Raw genomic sequence first — 21,099 nt, 5'->3', positions numbered from 1 at the left:
TAAAATCTCTTTGTATATTAAATCCTAAATATATTAAGGATTGTAAACATTGTTTTCAGTCTCACAGCTACATCTTGATTGCTGAGGAAGTTAGAGAAAAGGTGATCTGATTATTGATAAGGGAAAGAAAATCTGTTCCTATTTAAACATGTCACACTTGTGATTTTGTAGCTCTGGGAAGCTACTGATGCTGCAGATACAATTTGAGTCATCAGCACGTGGATGAGTAAAGCCATGGGCTGAATGGGAACATCTATATCATGGTAGAGAAGAACAGCAAGCTCAGGACTGAGTCCTGGGGCAATCCGGTAGGTAGAGCCTGAAAAAAGTGAAGGAGCCCCACAGAAGACTGAGAGGGAGCAGTGCATAAGATAGGAAGAGAGTTATTAGCAAGAGGTGCCCCTGGGGCCAGGAGACTAGCAGGTTTCCAGAGGGGGAAAATGCTCGTTGAATTAATTGTATCTAGGATGCCAAACCTGTAGAAGAATCCTAACCTATACTCTGATCCTAACCCTGACCCTGACCCTGACCCAGACCTTCATTTTTTCCTTAGAAGGATACACTGAAAATGAGTTGAAAAGGAAAAAAAAACCCACAACTAATAATTTATCTAAGAGGACCATTGATCACAAAACTTTGTAAAATCATGTCACCATTTTTAATTATGATGATACTCTATTTAGCAAATGCAGGGCTCTTTGAGCCCAGCTGGAGCCCCACCGGGATGACTGAAGTAGTGAACATGGGCGCTGGAGTTCCTGCACTGGTACTGAGAACTTTTAGAAGTGCTGCACAAGATCCCCAATCTGCTTCTTATGAAGTAGCATGAGGAGCAGAATGACTGTTTCTTTCTTTGCTTTGCTTATCTTTTTCTGAAATCAACTTGGAAAACACGTTTGTCTTTCATCCTTTCAGGCAGACGCATGGTTTTGTGGGTGAGGCTCCTGCTGGGTCCTGTGCTTGGTGTCTCAGGCATTCTGGCAATGGCAGGAACATAACCAGAGGTAGAGACACCTTTTCCCCCAAGAGGAGCAGTGGAATTAAACCCCTGGGGTGTGCGTGGTGCCTGCACCCTGCTGCCTCTCCCTACCATTGCTCCGAGTTCCTGGTGCCCACCACTCCTATCCTGACCTCCACTCCCAACAGTGACATCCCTACAGCCATCATAGGAATGTTATTCATTTCTTCCACTCCATTTTACATATTTCATCAAACTGAGATTATTTAGACCATGGAGAGAATAATCCGAAAATAGTGTTTGAGTTCAGAGTTTGAATTAAGTGTTTACTTTGATGGTCAACCAGGGAGCCAGAATGAGGTAGGACAAAGAAGGTGGGTTGAATCCTGGCTCTATCTCTCACCAGCTCAGTGAGCTTAGAGTAATCCAGTGGGTTAGAGCCTTCTCTCTAACTTGGACTGAGCTTCTAGAACCCATTACAAGTAGTGAAGGAAGAACACAGTTTGTCATGACTGTGGGGAGAAGGAGTGAGTCAGGACCCAGGGAGAGAGTCACCATGAAGCACTCCATCCAAGGGAGCAGGATGGAGAGGTGGAAACAGACAGAGGCCAATAGTATGCATTTGGGGCCAACCCCAGAGAGAGTTAGCAGATGCGAGGGGTGCGTGGGAAGTGGAAGCTACCACTGTCCCTGAAGTGCTGAAGCACAGAGCCCTGTCCCCTTTGAGATGGAGACTGCAATTGGATGAGTCAAGCAATAGCGGGAATGCGGGGGAGTTGCTTAGGGTACTGGGATGCTCAGACACTGAAAAGTTACCTAAGTCCTCTCTACCTCTGTTTCCTCATCCACAAATTTCAGGTAACAATGCCTTCCTCGTAGAATTGTTACAAGGTTTAAGATGAGATAATCCTATAAAATATCTAAGTCTAGAGCTGGCTCATAAGAAACGTTAAAACAACTCTCATCGAGCAACAACTGACTGAATGTTTTCATTTAAGCTCCTTCGTAATTTCAAACTCAGCATATTAAAAATCAAAATCACAGTACCAGGACTAAGGTAGTGTTCCAAGCCTTGTTCTATGCACATTATTTCCCGATATCCCACAGAAACAACCCAGCCTACACCAGATGAAAAACTATGTACCTTCTCTGGGGACTGGAGTAGGCAGGTCTTATCCCTATCTGTATGAGCAGACTTCTAAGGTGGCCCCCAAGGACCCACATCTCCTAGCGTTCATATTCTTGTATAATCCTTCCCCCGAAGTGTGAGGTGGACCTAGTGAGAGGATGCCACTTCAGCGATGCGGTTATAAAAGATTCCAACTTCTCTCTTGCTAGCAGATGTCCCTATTGCTTTCTCAGTGTGCACACTTTGATGAAGCCAGCTGCCACATTAGAGAAGTCCATGTGACAAAGGAGCCTTCAGCGCATAGCCAGGGAGGAATCAAGATCCTCAGCCCAACAAGCTTGGCAGGAGGAACTGAATCCTGCCAAAGCCATGTGGGCTTGGAAGCAGATCTTTCCCCCAACGGAGCCTTTAGAGGAGACCACACTGCCTCTGTCAACACCTTAACTACAGCCTTGCGGGAGACCCTGAATCAGAGGAACACGTAAGCTGTGCTCAATTCCTGACAGACGCAAACTACTGTGCAATAATAGATATGTGCTGTTTTAAGCTGCTAGGTTTTGGAATAGTTTGAATGCAGCAATAAGTAACTAATCCATCAACCCTGTTATGCTATGAAGTTTTAGTCTGGGATGGCACAGTCAGGAAGAGGATCAGGGGAGGGCTGGTTAGACATCACATCATAACAGGCAGGTTACCTGGAGTAACTGTTTGTTGTATTACATCACTAAAGCAAAAGCAGGTTGTTATGGAAAGGAAGCAACAGTCAAACAATTCCTAAAGATAAAATGTACCATAGCACAACTAAAACTATCTCAAGAGTAATAATAGGCACGCCCTAGCTGCCATTTTGATTTATAATAAAATGGTTCCAATAAAAGGAACCTGGGCTCTTTGGAGAAATGACTGCTTCTAGGACTGGGGCAGGAAATAGACAAGATGTGCCTGGAGTGTCTTGTAGTGCCAGAAAGTAATAAGTGCTCAAAAAAAAAAATCCCAAAAGCCACATTGAAGGGGCCAAAGGGAACACAGAAGCCAACTCAAAGGGGCCCCAGTGGCCAGCACTGGAAAAATTTGAGCAACAAAATAAACAAAGCAGTACTGGATTATAACCCGAAGTATAAAATTAATATCCATGAACCCTTAATGATATAAATGATAGAATAAATAAATAAATAAATGGGGGGGACAAATATCCTATGCAGAAGAATTCCACATAATTATGTGGATACTCAGCTCTCGAGGAAGTGGAGCATACCTCCCTTCCACTTAAGTGTGAGACTTCCTTCCAAAGAGTGCAGCATGGAAAGGAGGGGGAAAGATGAACTTTGCAGTGGAGAAACCTGATAAACACGACCTTGGCCAGATGATCAATGTCACATCAGCAGTGATAAATTATGTGGATAATATGTACCTTTGATATGCTATAACAAAAATAGCACTTTACTTCTGTGGTCTTTCTCCCAAAACACATAACCCCAGATTAATCCTGAGAAAAACATCAGGCAAATCCCAATGGAGGGACAGTCTACCAAACACCTGAACAGTGTGCCTTGTAACTGTCAAGGTCATCAAGGAAAATCTAAGAATTTTTTTTGTGACAGGGCCTCACTCTGTCGCCTAGGCTGGAGTGCAGTGGCACGATCTCGGCTCACTGAAACCTCTGCCTCCCAAGGTTCAAGTGGTTCTCCTGCCTCAGCCTCCAGAGTAGCTGGGATTACAGACAAGCGCCACCAAGCCCTGCTGATTTTTGTATTTTTGTAGAGATGGGGTTTTGCCATGTTGGCCAGGCTGGTCTTGAACTCCTGACCTCAGTTGATCCACCCACCTCAGCCTCCCAAAGTGCTGGGATTATGGGTGTGAGGCATCGTGCCCGGCCCTAAAGTCTAAGAAATTATGGCCAAGAGGAGCTTAAAGAGACATGATGACTAAATGTAATATGGTGTCCTGGAAAGGATCCTGGAACAGAAAAATTACCAGCTATCATCCAGTAATAGGTATGTGGTCTTGGGCAAGTTACTTGACATTAGGTAAAATTAAGGAAATCTGAATAAGGCATGGACTTAATTAATAATCATATGTCGATGTTGGTTCATTAAGTGTAACAAATGTACCCTTCTAGTGGAAACTGCATTTGGGGTATGTGAGAATTCTCTGTAGTGCCTTTATAATTTTTTGGTAAAAAAAAGCTGTTCTAAAATAAAAATTTAATTAAGTAACAAAAAAGAAGATGGGGAGATGCTGAGGAATGAGGAAGAGTGTGGAGAAGAACAGCTGGAACCAGATGACTGGTTTTAGGATCTGGCAGTGGTTGCCAGGTCTTGGACAAAGAGAAGTTGAATGGCTGTATCTGAGGTAGAAGAGTTTTCATGGAAACTAGAGTTTAAATTGAATTTTTATTAACTTAATTTTAGTAGGAAATTCAAAGACCACTTTATGGGACTTTGTCATTCGTATATCATCTGTCTTTCCCGGGGCTTCATGTGCTTGTTATGTGCTTTTTGGAATGCATATTTACATTTTAAAAGTATTTAAAGTTAAAATGTTCACTGGTTTAAAAAAAAAAACGGAATAGAGGCTGTTAAACAGCAAATGGGAATCTTTGGATAATTGCACTGGGAATGAAAACACCCAATCCAAATGTTCTCCCAGAAATCAGTACTAAAAAGAATAATGATAAGACATTTAAGAGAAAAAAAAATACGTGAAAAATAGGTTTAGGAAATTTTGACACACATATTATAGGAATTATAGGAATTATAGTAGGAGGAAAAAGGAGATTGGAGGTCAAAGAACTAATGGAAAAAAATTTATTGAGTTCGAGAATGTCATCTTAAGATCTAATAAGCCAATTGCATGCTCGTCAGGAGGAATCAAAGAACAGCCACAACTAGACATATCCTGGTGAAGTTTCTGAATTTCAAGGATGAATATCACGGAATTACAGTCTTAATCCTGAAATTACAGACTATTAAGGAATCAATAAGAATGAGCAAACTACTTAACAAAATCTATGCAGTGCTGTCCATGCTGTGTTCAAAAGACAGCTCCTTATCCAGCTATAGCTATGTGATGCTGGGCAAGTTACTAGACTTCTTAAAGCTTCCATTTCCTCATTTTAAAATAATATTAGTTTGGTTCAAAAGTATTTGTGGTTTTTACCATTACCTTTAATGGCAAGAGCAGCAATTACTTTTGCACCAATCTAATAATATCAACTACTTCCACTGTGCTGTGTGTGGGTCAGACACTGCTCTAGGGGCTTTCCAGGCAGTAATTAATTTATCTTCCTCCACAGCCCCATGGTGTAGCTTATATAATTATGCCGTTTTGCAAATGAGAAAACCAAAATGCAGAGAAGCTATTTGCACAAGGTTATGGAATGGTAAGTGGCAGAGACTTTCTCAAGTCTGCACTCATAATTACTTTGCTATAAATACCTCTTATATGGCCTGGTGTGGTATTATGAGGATTCAGTGACATAATGCATTTAAGATGTGCAGCATTGGTGCCTACCATACAATGTATTAGATAATTGAAGCTAGTATTTGTTTAAAAGGTGAAGCAAATATTCAACTCAAGGAGCTAGAAAAGGAATGATAAGATAAATTTAAATCAAGTAGAAATTAACAATGAAAAAGCATAAAATGCTAAGTTAGGAAGATAAAAATCGTACACAGAATTGATAAATAAAAGCAAAACTTGAATCTGAAAAAAATCAAATATACAAATTTCTTACAAGTTTTATTACAGAGAAAGATGGGTAAAATGCACAGTATTACACTTTGTCAAATCTGGGATTATTTCCTACAAAAATGCACACAAAAATATTAAGCAGAAAATGTAATAGAGTAATTAAAACAGAAGAAATAGAAAACACCAACAAATGTACCTCCAAAAGTAATCATTCCCAGATTTTACAAATGAGTTCTGTCAGAACATAATTGATTCAGCAAATATTCTAATTATGGCCAGGTGTGGTAACTCATGCCTGTAATCCCAGCACTTTGGGAGGCTGAGGCTGTAGGATCACTTGAGGCCAGAGGTTGGAGACCAACCTGAGCAACATAGCAATAGCTATGTGAGGGAGACCCCATCTCTATACAAAATTTTTAAAAAATTAGCTTGTTGTGGTGGTGCGTGCCTGTGGTCCCAGCTACTCAGGAGGCTGAGGCGGGAGAATCACCTGAGCCCTGGAAGTCAAGGCTGCAGTGAGCCAAGATCATGCCACTGCACTTCAGCCTAGGTGACAGAGCAAGACACTGCCAAACAAAAAAATTCTAATTACTATGTGTTGGGAACTGTCTTGTCACTGGCTTTGTGGAAATAAAAGAAGAAAAATCCTTGCTATGGAGGAGTGAGGAAATATTGAAAATTCTCTTACTATTTAAACTCTTCCTAACTCACTTTTTATGTGCCCCAAAAAGAAGGCACATAAAAAGAATATGAAGAATGAACTCCCTTAGGGATGGACACTATCTAAGTAAAGTTGTTAATGCAGCCTCTTCCCTTCTGAAAGAGAACCTGGCTTTTCCATTCATTATTTAGCTCTGTTCCCCTACACACCAGATGAAGATGAAATATCAAGTAGGCCTGGGTGGCAAAGTGTCTGGGCTGGGATGACTATAAATGAACTATCCATTTTTAGTGGAGTGTCACAGCCTTGGGCTCTCCTGAGTGCAGGGGCCTTGGAAGCTGTCTGTGATCTCTTTCACCAGATATTGACTCCTGTGGGGCACAAAGCCTTAGGCCAGGACATATCTTGGGCCTCCCAATGGAAGTCGTGCTTCTCCACACCTGAGTCATCACCTGGAGCACTAAAGAGAATGGTGCCTGGACGACCTTGAGGGCCATTCCTACTGAAGAGCAGCACCTAATGCTGCCACCCTGGGAACCTGTGTTTCATCCTCTGTTCAAAATAAAGGAAGAACAAATTGATTCCATCAGCGTATTAAAACCATAATATAGTATGACCAAATAGAACTTATTCCAGGAATGTGAGGATGGCTCAACATTTAGTAATCAGTTAAAATAATGTATCATATGAGTTAGTGGAAAGAAAACTCATGATCCTGATAAAAACTTGAAAGGCGTTTGTAAAATTCAGCTATCATTTCTAATAAAAATTTGGAGAACTAAATATTCGAAACTGTTCCCTATTAGGAAATCAACAGCAAACATGATATTGATTGATAGATGATTATTTTAGATTCAGGAGGTACATGTGCAGCTGTGTTATATGAATATATTGTGTAATGGTGAGGTCTGGGCTTCTGATGTACCCATCATCCAAATAGTGACCATTGTACCTAATAGGTAATTTTTCAACCCTTGCCCCCTCCTCCCCTCCCCTATTTGGAGTCTTTGGCGTCTAGTGTTTCCATCTTTATGTCCATGTGTACCCATTGTTTAGCTCCCACTTATAAGTGAGGTCATGCAAGCAAACATGATATTTAAATGAAAAGCATTGAAAGCATTCCCAATAATATGAAGGAAATGTCGACAATCATTTTATTACCACAATTGCATTCTAAGGTCAATCTAGAGCTGTAAGATAGCTCATTGGACTAAATTAGAGTCCAGAAAGATACTTAAGAAAAATTAAAATTTAGTGTTCAATAAGGTAGTATTTCAAATCAGTAGGTAAAAGAGATATTTAGTTAGTAATAGTATCAACCAAACATGGAAGAAAAATAAATTAGATTTCTTCTATACCCTCAAATAAACTCTAAAAAGATTAAAGATTTAATTGCTGAAAATAAAATCATTCACAGACTGGAAAAATAGAGATAAATATGTTATATGTTTGACCACATGAAAACACAGTCAGAAAACACTACAAGCATAACAATAAACAGAAGAAAATAAATGTAATATATTTGAAAAACAAAGATACACAAAGAACTCTTAGTAATCAGTAAGCAAAAGATTAATATACCAACAGAAATCTGGGCACTAACAGGTAACTCACAAGTGAAGAAATATAAAAAAGCAAGAATTCATTAATTTATGAATTCAATACATATGTATTAGCATCATAAATTTGCCAGACACACGGCCAAGGTTAATAAAAAATCACTGTCCAGTGTTGATAAGGATGTCAGAAGTGGACATTCTTAAACGTGACTAATGGGATTATTATAAATTATAAATTCTATTATTATATGTTAGAACATATTTCTGGAGGACAGTTTGGCAAAACGTATTGAGAGTGAAAGGGTTGCAAATACTTGACCATTCATTCCAAATGTAGGATTTATATTGTCATGAGTGGACGTGAGCCCTGGAACTGGGCAGTCATCTTATAGCCCCAAGGGGAGGGAAGTCAACCCACAGAGTGGCAAAGCAGCCTGTCCACAAGATCTCAGAGCTGCAGATCCGACCACCCCAGGACCCACCGTATCCACAGATGCAGTGTTTTGTGAGATGGCAAATTTCCTTATCACTCCAGTCAGTGTTAACTGGGGTTTTGTGATTTGTGGTCAATGCAATCTTGATGACACAGGGCTCTGTCCTTCCGTTCAGAACTTCTAGCCTCATCTTCCACTTCTTCCCAACAGCCACTTCTGCAGTAGTCAGGCTGCTTCCAACCCTGTCAACACCTTGATTTGCACTTCTGGTTCCAAGATTGTGCGAGAATAAATTTCCGTGGCTTTAAGTCTCCCAGTTTGTATACTTTGTGATGGCAGCCCCAGGACACAGATATAGCTGAGGCCTAGAATCCACCTCCCTCTTCCCCAAAGGCATACTTTGATTTTCTGCTTGTATTAAGTAGACTTGGAGTACAGCCTATAGAGTATCGGTCAACAGAAGTGGAGATTGATTTATGGCCTTGCAGATAAGAACACAGGCTCTGGGGTCTGGTAAATCTCATTCAAGTTGCCAGCTGTGTGTCTATGGCAACTCTCCTAGCTTCTCTGAGCTTCCATTTGGATATCTACAAATAGGGTTAATAAAGATTGTTGAGGGGGCTGAGTGAGATGATATATATAAAGTGCTTAATAAGTTATCTTGTGCACAGGAAGATTTAACAAATTCTAATGCCTTAAGGCTCCAGTGTAATCCAGAACAACAGTTCTCATCCTCCCTTAATTAGATGGACATCAATGAATTGGCCACAGCAAAGGGTGGGGAGTTGGGGGAGTCCCATAGTCTCTGAGAAATACAGGGGCATGTCTCAAGTAATGGTGGACTATGCCAATGGGAGGATGTGAAATTCCATTTACAAGGATAGCCCAGATTGTTATTAACCAACAACAGTGAGGAAAGAGAAGTGAGAGGAAGGAGGAAAGAAATAGATCCTAGGTCTTGGAGCTCAGAGAAAACTGTGTGGGGCCACACAGGGAACAGTAGCTTCCAAGGGCAGCAGACACAGGGTTTGCTCAGGCAGGATGTGAGGGAAGGGGTCCTGGGTTCCCCTTCCACGGAGAGAAGACCCAACCGAAGGACAGCATCACCAGTGGGGCTTACCCCATCATGCTTACTTAGAAAGTAGTGATCTAGAAATAACTACTTGATTAGGAAATTAGCACTTGAGGATTCTCATAACTAGTTACCTCTTGGCTGCTTGGAGTAAAAGGCAGAACAGGTTTTACTTGGAAATGCAGTGCCTTTTTTTTTTTTTTTTGGTCATTTTATGCTGTGCCTTCCTAGAACACATAACCATTTTGTTTTATTCCTAGAGAAATAATCCATGACATATGAGCTTTTATCACAAAATAAAAACATCAAACTTTATCTTTGGAACAAAATAAATGGTTGATCATTGTCTTTTGTCATTTATTGTAAAATATGTTATCTATGATAACTCTTGGTATGCATCTCACTCTAATCTTGATATTTAAAATAGGTGAGTAATTGATTTCTGAGCGTGGTGTATTTGCTCTGTAGCTTATATGCATACTTACATTTTGATACTGAAAGAAATCCTAGGAGTTAAACCTCAAAAGTCATAGACTTTGCCTAGATAAACATCTGCTGTTTTAATGGTATTTTGAACTGCAGAGCTACCGTTTAACAACCCTGTATTCTTTTCTTTTTTATAACTGAGTGGGTGGGGAAATGGGAAAGAATTCTAAAGAACCAGTCACCTCACCTGTCTCCTTCTCTCTGTTTCATCCTTTGCAGAGGAGCTCCTGCACCACGCATGCCTTCCTCATGCAGTTAGTATAAGAGTCCAAAGAAAGAAGCGGTTGAAAAGCACTTCAGAAATTCTCAAACCCTGCACCAATGTAAGGAACTACAGAACTGCAGGAGGCTTTACTCCCTTGTTGGTTAATCACTTTTCAAATGTGTTCCTTGTTCAGGTAAATGTGACATCTGCTTTTTGTTTGTTACCTGTCTACTGGGAACCATGTGTTGGTCATTTCATCAGTAACACAAATTTAATAAATGTTCACAAAATTAAATGTATTAGTCATTTATTCATTTAACCAGGAATTCCTGAGCACTCTGTATAGACTATGCCCTGGGAATAGTGATGAGCAAGAGAGTCCGTTGTAGTGTCCATTGTCATGGAACTGACATTCTCCTGGGAGAACCAGACACTGAAAGAGGCACAGGCAGATGGCAGTGATTGCTATGGTCAGAGAAGGTCTTGCTGAGGAGGTTGTAGTTGAGCTGAAAACTAAATGATGAGAACAGGTCACGTAGGGAGGAGCTGAGGAAGGAGCCAGCAGGCCAAGCTTAGCAAGGGTAAAGGCCTGGAGGATGGAAATGAAAAGAAACTGATGTGACGGGAGGGTAGTAATGAGGGGGTATCAAAGAGCGAGGCACCTGGACCAGACCAGACCACATTTCCAAACAGAAACATGCCTCATTCCTGAGAGTATATCCCAAATGGAGCACTCCTCTCTTTCATGAGGAAGGGCTGGGTGAAGGCTTACATTCCTTTCTCTAAGTGAGTGAGCACTGGGGGTGCATTGGTGCATGGAAAGGGTAAGTAACCTGCCCAAGGAACACCAGTGGCCATGGATCACTTGACCCTGAGCCAGCTCCTGAGGGTAGCAGGGAAGGTGGGTGACCCAAGGCCTGCTGGTCAAGCCAAGACTTAACTTGTTAATTCATTCACTTTTCTCCTAACTTCAAAATGTGGGACTTTTCCTAGTAAACCAGAGCCTGCCTGAGATATCTTTGCTGCAGCTACCGGGTTTCATTGAGAGAAGATCTTTGGTTCATTGGACCAGCGAGCTCACTCCACAAAAAGCCTCAGGAAATGGCAGGCCCCCAACACTTCGGATAATCTGGCAGTCTGTGGCCCAGGTCCCCTGCTCCCTTCCCTCTGTACAGATACCTGACCTAAATAACCAGATGGGGAAAGGGAGAAGAGACACCTGAGCAACCAACCCCTAGCTCTACCCTTCCCAGGACTGGAGGATAATAGTTGATGTCTTCAGAAAATGTGGGGTGGGGTGTGGGAACTCAGCCAGGGGGTGGCCAACTTTTCCTGTAAAGGGGCCAGATAATAAATGTTTAGGCTTTACGGGCTACATACGGTCTCTATCACACATGCTTGTTTTTATTTGTTAATTATTTCTTTATAAACTTTAACCCTCTGAACCCTTAAAAAGGTAAACACTGTTCTTAGCTTGTAGACCTTACCTTCAACCTGAAAAGTGGATTACAGTTTGTTGACCGCTAACCTCGGCTGCTTTGCCCTAACAAACTTCAAACCGGATGCCACTTAAACCAAGTTAGGGATGGAGCAGCTGTTTCTTTTAATCTCTATGGGAGTACCCTGAGGGGAGCCTTCACTGACAACTGCATCCCTAGATCCCCATTCCCACTTTCCACATCACCATCCTCACTTACGAGTGAGTGAGAACTGACAACTGCAACTGCATCCCTAGATCCCCATTCCCACTTTCCACATCACCATCCTCACTTACGGTCAGGAAATGGAAGCTGGGAGAGGCCAAGCAATCCCCCAAGGCCATGGAGCTAGCAAGTGATAGAGGCAGGACTTGAACTCAGGCATTCTGATTCTAGAGTCACCGGTCTTAACCACTGCACTGTACTATCCCCTGCTAGAAACTAGAGCTGTGGCTTTCTCTTCTTGGGCAAAGCCCCCATCTGTACAACAGGAGGGGTGGGGTGGTGTTTTCCTCAATATGAAAGGCATACCCGATGGCAGGTGAAATGATTTCCACGGTTCACACAGAGAGCATCAGATAATATTGATTCACAGAATGAAAAGATGATTGCCTTTTCACATCTCTCTCAAGTCTTCCAATAATGTCAGGGAAGGAGGTTTAGTCTGATGGTAATGTATCTTTAAAATCTCTCCAAAGCATGCTAATTTTCTTTTCTTTTCTTTTTAAACAAGAACAGGTTTTATAACTCAGGATCCTCAGTAGGCAGTGATAGCTAGCTAGAATTTTAGTATCACTGTTGTACTATTATTATTACTTCTCTTGTTAGTCTCATGGTTTTATTTTTTATTGCCTTTCTGAATATTTGCTATTTATGAAAAATGTTAGTGTTGCCATTGCTGTAATTCTCTTGTCCATTTCTTCATAGTTATAATATTGCTGCTGAAGCTCCTGCCATCACACCCAAATTGGAATTAAGGGGAAAGACAGGGTTCAGCCACTTTTGTCTCCTATTACCAGGAAAGCAAAATAATTTTACATACTTTGCATTGATCGAAACATGCTGCATGGCTACATGTAGCAGCAAAAGAGGCTGAAAATGTGGGTGTTTGGCTGGATACATTGGTACCCCAAACTAATCAGAATTCTACCATCAAGAAAAAGGCATACATCCAGTGCTTTGTAACAAAAGTGTTTGCCACAGGCTGGGAATCCTTTGAGTTTTCTCTTCAGTGTCTGCAAAGAGCAGGGATGGAAGTCAGAGATGTGGGATGGCTTAAGGGAATTTAGCAAAACACCTGTTTCTCTTTACCTTGTTTACCACCAAGACACTCCCTTCCCCATAGTGCAGTGGAACACTGACGAGCCATCATCACTCCTAAGAAACAATACAAAATGAAAAAAAACAGTATTGCCATACTCTTACAGTGGAGGCGAGGAAATCTTATGAGTTTGTCCCCACTGGCTATTATAGTTCAGAGTGCTAAGCTAAAGAACCCCTCACCTTTTCAATCTACTGTGTAGAAGCTATATTTACTTACCTGCACATACCTCCAAATATGTATCCTAGAAATCAGATTTGAAATCTTATAAATCCCAGAAGTAGGAAGTTCGTATTTCAAGAACTACTTTTCAAATTAGTGTTTTAATTCAACAAGCATTTAGTGAGTGCCCACAGTTCCCCAGGCACCTCCTTAAGTGCTGAGAATATAGGGGTGAACTGGACCCATAAAGCCCTGGAGTATATATCCTGGTGGGAGAGGCAGATAAAAGATCTGCAGAAAAACAGGAGTTCAGGAGGATTAAGAGCTGAAATCAGGAGGCAGACTTCTGGGCTTGAATACAAATTCTGCGGCTTCCTGGCTTTGTGGTTTTGGGCAAATTACCTGCCTCTCTATGCCTCAGTTTCTCCATCTGTAAGATAATAAGAATAATTATAGTACTTCATAGAGTTACACTGAGATTGCTTTTTTGACTCATAGTGATTAAACACAGCCATACTGAAGGGCCAGGAAGCTAAGATGTAGACAGTGTTTTAAAGGGTAAAAAATGGTGATGACAAATTACTCCCCACCTCATTTGGCAGCCGAGTGTATTACATGGCTTAATGCATGTAAAGTACTTAGAAATGTTGCTAGTATGGTCAGGCCCAGTGGCTCATGCCTGTAATCCCAGAACTTTGGGAGGCCAAGGCGGGCGGATCACGAGGTCAGGAGTTCAAGACCAGCCTGGCCAACATAGTGAAACCTCGTCTCTACTAAAAATACAAAAAATTAGCCGGGCGTGGTGGAGGGTGCCTGTAATTCTAGCTACTCGGGAGGCTGAGGCAGGAGAATCGCTTGAACCCGGGAGGCAGAGGTTGCAGCGAACCTGGATTGTGCCACCGCACTCCAGCCTGGTGACAGAGGGAGACTCTGTCTCAAAAAAAAAAAAAAAAAAAAAAGAAATGTTACTAGTATGTAGTAAGTTCTCAGTAAATGTTAGCTACTATACTCTTTCAAGTGCTGGGTTTTTACTTGATGTCATACAGTGTTATATAAGATCTCCAAAGATACTGAGGAGTCCTCAAGGCCAATTTTAACAAGCATGGTTGCCGCATTCTTGTGCTTATAGTTGAACATTTCTTCTTTCAGACACTTGCACAAAGGGATACTTCTAAGATGCATTTGCATTAGGTGGCAAACTTCATCCTGGGTATGAAAAACATTGAGATTTGGGAATAAAGCATAGTAAGACTGAGGTTGCAATTACTAAAGGAAAACCCCAACAGAGATAAGTGAAGTTCTGCAATATCATGCACCCTCCCCCAACCCGCTCTGTCTCCCCAGGCCCCCCTTCGTTAGAACACCCATGACTGGCTATATTATATCAGCATTTCCCATAATGTAAAAAGGGAAAATACAGACCTGGGCGTTCATGGAAAGTATTCTAACTCTCACAACCAGAATCCCTGTCTTTGAATTTTTTTTCTTGGTTTTTAGATCTTTAACTTTTCCTTCAGCATTTCAGTACTCAACTTTTTGAAAATCATCTTTTCTGAGGAATGATATTTCCTGGCACAGCATCATCTCTGTCAAGTGACTCAGTTTGATTTTTTTGTTTGTTAGTATAAAGTGGCCCCAACTTACAGAGAAAAAGTGGGCTCTTGGTATCAGTTTGATGTCAGGGTTTTTCCGTGTTTGAGAGGGAGCTTTAAATACCACTCGATTTGAAGGTGTCTGCAAGCGAGCTCCAGTCCGCTGTCAAGATGCTTCTGGCCATGGTCCTTACCTCTGCCCTGCTCCTGTGCTCCGTGGCAGGCCAGGGGTGTCCAACCTTGGCGGGGATCCTGGACATCAACTTCCTCATCAACAAGATGCAGGTAGGCTGCAGGGGGAGCCCATGGGAAAGACAGCTACTGACAAAGTGAAATATGTATGAGGATGAAAAAACTCGGGGCTGACTAAAGGTTCTTATCTCTCTATCTACTTTAGGAAGATCCAGCTTCCAAGTGCCACTGCAGTGCTAATGTGAGTGAATGCTCTTTAAGAACTTTCCAAATTAATTTTAATTTTCACATCTGGAATCTTCACTCTGAAATTTCCCTTGCAGGTGACCAGTTGTCTCTGTTTGGGCATTCCCTCTGTAAGTATAGTGAAATAACATAATGTTGACCTTGGATTTTTTTGGTTTGTTTTTAAGTAAAAATAAGTTGCTTTATTTAATATTTAATGTTATACATTGTTGCTTAATTTAATTGTTACAGATTAGTATTCCCTGTTAAAACCACATTGTTACAAATTATTCCCTTTTAAAACTACGATCTTGAAATCCTATATTATGAACATTTCTTTGTATTTAATTAACTTTATGCCTCTTGAGAAGTTTGAACACTTTTCAACATTAAAAAAAGAATCCTGAATATCTTTTTAGATAGGTGGCCATGTGCACAATTAAATAAAACTGGAACTAAGGATATAATAATTGCTGTAGCTCATATCATATTGCTTTCTAACTCATTTACTGATAACTCTAGAGTTGTGAAACAATGTAAATAAAATGACAACTCCTTATCTTTCATCTGTCATGAATGATCTATGCGCTATACCTCCCCCTCCCTGCCTCCTCCCTTCCTCCCCACCACCCTGTTGTCTGTCTAGCTGATTAGAGTGACTGTTGGTTTGAATGCTGCCCTCTGGGCAGGTAGAGGATCTGAGGTTGTGAGTGGAAGGAGGGCTTCCAGAGGGCCACTGCCCACTACGGCAGGAAGGATGGGTGGCAGGAAAGTTCTGATTCCTAATTCAAACTCCTGGTTAGGGTGAGGAGGAGGCACTTCTCCAAGGTGCAGTGCTTTATTCTTTCTCATGCAAGGCCTGGGAGAATCTGAAGAATCTGAGCTTCTTGCCCTGGCTAGGGTAAGACATCGCACCCATCGCGGTCCATCCATTAGATGAGAAGAGGATAGAGTGCCTTCTGGGCAGGAACCAGGCAGACAGCACAGCCCCTGTCCCTTGGAGTACCGTCCATGTTTTTAGCTGCTGCTGAAATACCAGCTGCATTCAATTGTCACATCCCATTAGCTGGTGTGAAAAGGCTTTTCCTCACTCTGCACTTTCAGACTTACAAGCCTTGAAGCCGGGAAGCACCCGTTGAAAAGAACATTCAGAGCCGACTATTTCAGGGCCCAGAGCCCTCATGTTTCCTGGATGTAACATACAGGAAGTCTCCTCCAGGGGATGTCACTGTGGAAAAATGGCATCCCCTTTAAATACGGGAGATCACTTCCTACATTGGCAAGGGACCTGTCTAAAAATAATGCAAGTTTGAGTAATGGTGATTAAATAAAAATCATCTCTATTATATTGCTCTTTGTGATATATTTCCAAAGCTGTCCTCAGAATATTTCTTTGAATAAATCCTTACTATTTACCAGGACAACTGCACCAGACCATGCTTCAGTGAGAGACTGTCTCAGATGACCAATACCACCATGCAAACAAGATACCCACTGATTTTCAGTCGGGTGAAAAAATCAGTTGAAGTACTAAAGAACAACAAGTGTCCAGTAAGTTTGTTTTCATATGTGATATGTTCCTGTTGGTGATTTCTATGTGAATGGTGATGCCAACCCTGTTTGAACACAAAAGGATGATAAAGTTGGAATTGGTAGTTCAAGGTTGATAAAAGACATCTAAGAATTTTAATCAGAAGTAATATAATTAAAGTGAGATCCACTGAAACAATAGAATTAAAGTGAGATAGATCATTGTTCCTGACGAGGCCATTTACTTCTCTCTACTATGGAATAATGAAAGAATCCTTTCTGAGTGTAATTAGAAGCTACAATCTAGAGAATCAGGGATGTAGCTCACATAATACTAAATTATCCTAGAGATTCAATGTACTAACTGAATGGATGTTGTTAACAGGGATTTTTTTTTCCTGTTGGTTAAGGAGGTTTTGTTTTGTTTTGGAGACAGAGTCTTGCTCTGTTGCCCAGGCTGGAGTGCAGTGGTGCCATCTGAGCTCACTGCAGCCTCTGCCTCCCGGGTTCAAGTGATTATCCTGCCTCAGCCTCCCGAGTAGCTGGCATTACAGGTGCGTGCCACCATGCCTGGCTAATTTTTGTATTTTTAATAGAGATGGGGTTTCACCATGTTGGCCAGGTTGCTCTCCAACTCCTGAACTCAAGTGATTTGCCCGCCTTGACCTCCCAAAGTGCTGGGATGACAGGTGTGAGCCACCATGCCTGGCCTGCATTAAGGAGGTATTTAAAGGGCAATGCACCCAGGTCAAGGTGGAAGCTTGCTACTCATCCTGAATGCCCATCCACACATTCTTTTCTTCAGCATATACCCTAGTCCCTGACAGCAGACTGGGATGGCAAGTTGGGTAGAGGTGACCTCCCTCTGTTTTTTGGGTATTAGCATCTCCACACAAGATCCTAGAAGGCTGAAAGCCCTGAGCTCAGCTGTTTAGCTGCATGCGTTTCTACCATCAATGGCATCTAGTTCTAAGTGCTTAATATATGCTGTCTCACTGAATAAATACATACCTTAGGGACAATTATTCAATTTATTACTCTCAGTGAGGTTAACTAATTTGCCTAAGGCTGCATATTTGATAAGTGGCAGAGCTGAGATTTGAACTCAGGCCTATATGACCTCAGAGCCCCACTCTTAGCCATTGTACTGTCAAATGACCTTGGAAAGACAACCTAAAAGGATAATGATACAATTTTAGGCCTCAAAGAGTCCCCAGAAAAGGCTTTCTCTAATGCAGAGATTTAGGGCCACTTAATAGGGGTGTGTGTGTGTGTGTGTGTGTGTGTGTGTGTGTGTGTGTGTGTGTAAAGACCCCTGAAATCCAATTTGAGGTCAACCACCTATGCTGTCTTTACACCACATGAGCTAGCCTGGACCTGCCCACCTATTTGCTCTGTGTCTCAAGCCACTTCCCTTCCCATCCCCACAATCCTCACCACCGACTCTGGCTCTTGGCAGGTAGGCTTCTGGGGCTGCTTGGCTCTACATCATTTGAGTCACTCTGTCCTTATCAACTTTCATCCCCACAGTATTTTTCCTGTGAACAGCCATGCAACCAAACCACGGCAGGCAACGCGCTGACATTTCTGAAGAGTCTTCTGGAAATTTTCCAGAAAGAAAAGATGAGAGGGATGAGAGGCAAGATATGAAGATGAAATATTATTTATCCTATTTATTAAATTTAAAAAGCTTTCTCTTTAAGTTGCTACAATTTAAAAATCAAGTAAGCTACTCTAAATCAGTATCAGTTGTGATTATTTGTTTAACATTGTATGTCTTTATTTTGAAATAAATACATATGTGGAAAAAACAACATGAGCTGGTCTCTTGGCAATTATTCATTTCTTGCTGCTCAGAACAAAGAAAGCTACAAGTGTTGTTAAGGGGAAGAATAGATCAGAGACTCCTGTAGGAGTCTCTGTGATAAGACTCCTGATGCTGAATACAGACCCTCAGGCTCATAGGCTGTGGCTGGAGCTGCAGGAGGGCTGCAGGGAGCAGTTACAAAGAATGTCTATGAGGACCATCTGAGGGTTGCCACTAGGGGAGGCTGAAGGCATGTCTGACACTGCTAAGAGGGCTAGGGTCCTGAGAAACTGGCCTTGTGCCTGAAAGAGGAGAAGGCAGCAGCTTGGAAGTGGGAGACTGCTCAAGAATGTGGGCATGCAGAATAAATGCTTAATAATTAAGTGCTTAACCCACTAGTTATGGTAGGAAGTAGATATTATTATTATGCATTTCTGTTTTATATATACTGAAACCAAAGCTTAGAAAGTCTGCATGGCATTCCCAAGATCCCACAGGTGGTGAGATTTAGAAGAAGGATTCACCCCTCGTGCTCTCTGCTTCCAAACCCTTTGCTGTTTGCATTCTGCCCCTTTCTTATTCTCTTTATACCAAGGGTGTGCATTGTGCTTCTTCCAACCACAGCCTGAGGGTAAAATAGACCCATCATAATTCCAGTCCACACTCTCATATCCAGAAACCTAGGGAGTCAGGTTTCAGAATTCAAGCTTTTTAGCCTTTTAGAAAGTTAAAACAATCCACGTGCCATATATTACATAACACCCACAGCAGGGCCTGGGGCAAGTTTCCATAATTAAACATATCAATTCTGCAACAGTCACTGAAATGGTCAGGTTTTGCAGCCAAATGAGTCCTAACAAATCTTGAGTTTTCGCAGCTGTTTGGATTTCAGAATAATGATAAGAAATTAGTAAGCTGCATTAACAAAACAGCCTTTCTCTAGCTCATGCCCTATTTAACAAGGGAGGTGGGGGTGGGGGGCACTCTTACGAAGACATTTTATGTGGGGCTGGGCTGGGTGTCTCCAGGAGGGATAAAGGTTTCTGTAGCTTCCTGGACAGCCAGCCACATGGAGTTCCAGATCACAGCTGAAGGGCCTTCTCTTCTCCTCTCCTCCATGTGGGTTTTCTGAATGACTGGCGCCAGACATAGTTGAATCATGTGACACTATGTGGTTTACCACCTGTGGCATGGGGAGACACCAGCCCAAGCAGGATCCCAGCAGGGACAGATACTGATGGTTGGTGATGGTTTCAGAATATAACTCGGAAATGCAATGTCTTGCCAGAGGAGACGGGCAGAGACGAGCTTCCACTCACTGATGCAGATTAATCACCAGCATAGCTTGGTGCTTTCCCTAGGCTTTTCTGCAAAAGTCACATAACCTGCAGTGTTCATTCCTGCAGGCAAGCTCCAAGGAGGGTTCACTTACAGTAAAGTGTGCTATAATTACCATCTTCTCTGTGCCAGGAGAGTTGAGATTCATCAAGAAGCCACCCTGGAGAAAGGAGAACTAATATTTATTGTTTACTCTGTACCAGGCAGTCCTCTAAGCCTATTTTGTAGAATATCTGGTTGGATCCTCACAACAACCCCATGAGATATTTATATAATTGTTGTATGTAATTTTTCCCACTGCACAAATGAGATAAGTAGGCCCAACGAGGTTGCATAACTTGGCCAGAAGCACGTTGCTCACAAGCAGTGAAGTTGCTACCCTCTCCAGGTTGCCAGGCCCCAGGCAGAGTTGTTTCCAGCAGATTCCAGATCAAAGCACACACTGCAGGCCAAGATGTGGCCAGCCATAAAGCTAGCTTGCCCATCTATCCATCCATCCCTCCCTCTTTACATCCACCCAGTTTGAAGCAGGAAGATGCTGTGATGTTCAAACCTCACAATTCCTCTCCTCCCATTGTCACATTGTCACTCTGCTTCATTGACCCCAGACCAAGACCTCCCTTTCTCTGCAAAGGAAGGCCTCAGCAGAAACTCAAAGAGGACCTAAAGGTCTTCATTCTTTATTTTTATCACTTTAAAAACATGGCTTTAGCTAGGCACAGTGGCTCATGCCTAAAATCCCAGCACTTTGGGAGGCTGACGCAGGCTGATCACTTGAGCCCAGGAATTTGAGATCAGCCTGGTCAATATGGTGAAACCCAGTCTCTATGAAAAATACAAAACTTAGCTGGGTATGGTGACATGCAACTGTAGTCCCAGCTACTCGGAGTCTGAGATGGGAGGATCACTTGAGCCTAGGAGGTCGAGGGTGCAGTAAGCCATGATTGCACCGCTACACTCCAGCCTGGGCAACAGAGCAAGATCCTGTCTTAAAAAAAAACAAACAACAACAACAGCAGCAACAACAACAACAGCAAACAGATGGCTTCATTGAGATACGCTTCATATACCACATGCAATACAATTCATCCATTTGAAGCGTATAATTCAATATATTTTAGTACATTGGCAGGTTGCACAACCCTCACTTTTTAAACTGTGTCATATTATCTGTAAATAGAGGTAACTGACTTCTTTTTTTCCAACTTGGATGCCTTTTCTTTCACTTCCTTGGCTAATTTCTGGCTAGAACTTCCA

General features: G+C 41.9%; 1 protein-coding gene and 1 long non-coding RNA gene across 2 annotated transcripts; one reads left to right on the top strand and one right to left on the bottom strand.

Annotated features, from left to right (window-relative positions):
* Positions 1-14,589: 14,589 nt before the first annotated feature.
* On the bottom strand, positions 14,590-20,282 carry LOC124901074 (uncharacterized). Its single transcript, XR_007058947.1, has 3 exons — positions 19,937-20,282; positions 18,135-18,296; positions 14,590-15,040 (listed from the first exon to the last, which is right to left on the bottom strand). It is a non-coding gene; the product is annotated as an uncharacterized LOC124901074 (long non-coding RNA).
* IL9 (interleukin 9) lies at positions 14,897-18,492 on the top strand. Its single transcript, NM_000590.2, has 5 exons — positions 14,897-15,035; positions 15,148-15,183; positions 15,266-15,298; positions 16,587-16,718; positions 18,228-18,492. Exons 1-5 carry the CDS (start codon positions 14,922-14,924, stop codon positions 18,345-18,347), a joined length of 435 nt encoding a protein of 144 aa, NP_000581.1. The 5' UTR covers positions 14,897-14,921; the 3' UTR covers positions 18,348-18,492.
* Positions 20,283-21,099: the final 817 nt, after the last annotated feature.

Source organism: Homo sapiens, chromosome 5 (genome assembly GCF_000001405.40).
Source record: "Homo sapiens chromosome 5, GRCh38.p14 Primary Assembly".
NCBI lineage: Eukaryota > Metazoa > Chordata > Mammalia > Primates > Hominidae > Homo > Homo sapiens.
Note: the sequence above shows the minus strand (reverse complement) of the source record. Positions and strands in the feature narration are given on the sequence as shown.

Bases quoted from the DNA above. Each gene is read 5' to 3' on its own strand.
- IL9 (NM_000590.2), top strand. From the start codon at position 14,922: ATGCTTCTGGCCATGGTCCTTACCTCTGCCCTGCTCCTGTGCTCCGTG. The intron at 15,036-15,147 runs GTAGGCTGCAGG...TATCTACTTTAG, and splicing joins TCCTCATCAACAAGATGCAG to GAAGATCCAGCTTCCAAGTG. The intron at 16,719-18,227 runs GTAAGTTTGTTT...TCATCCCCACAG, and splicing joins TAAAGAACAACAAGTGTCCA to TATTTTTCCTGTGAACAGCC.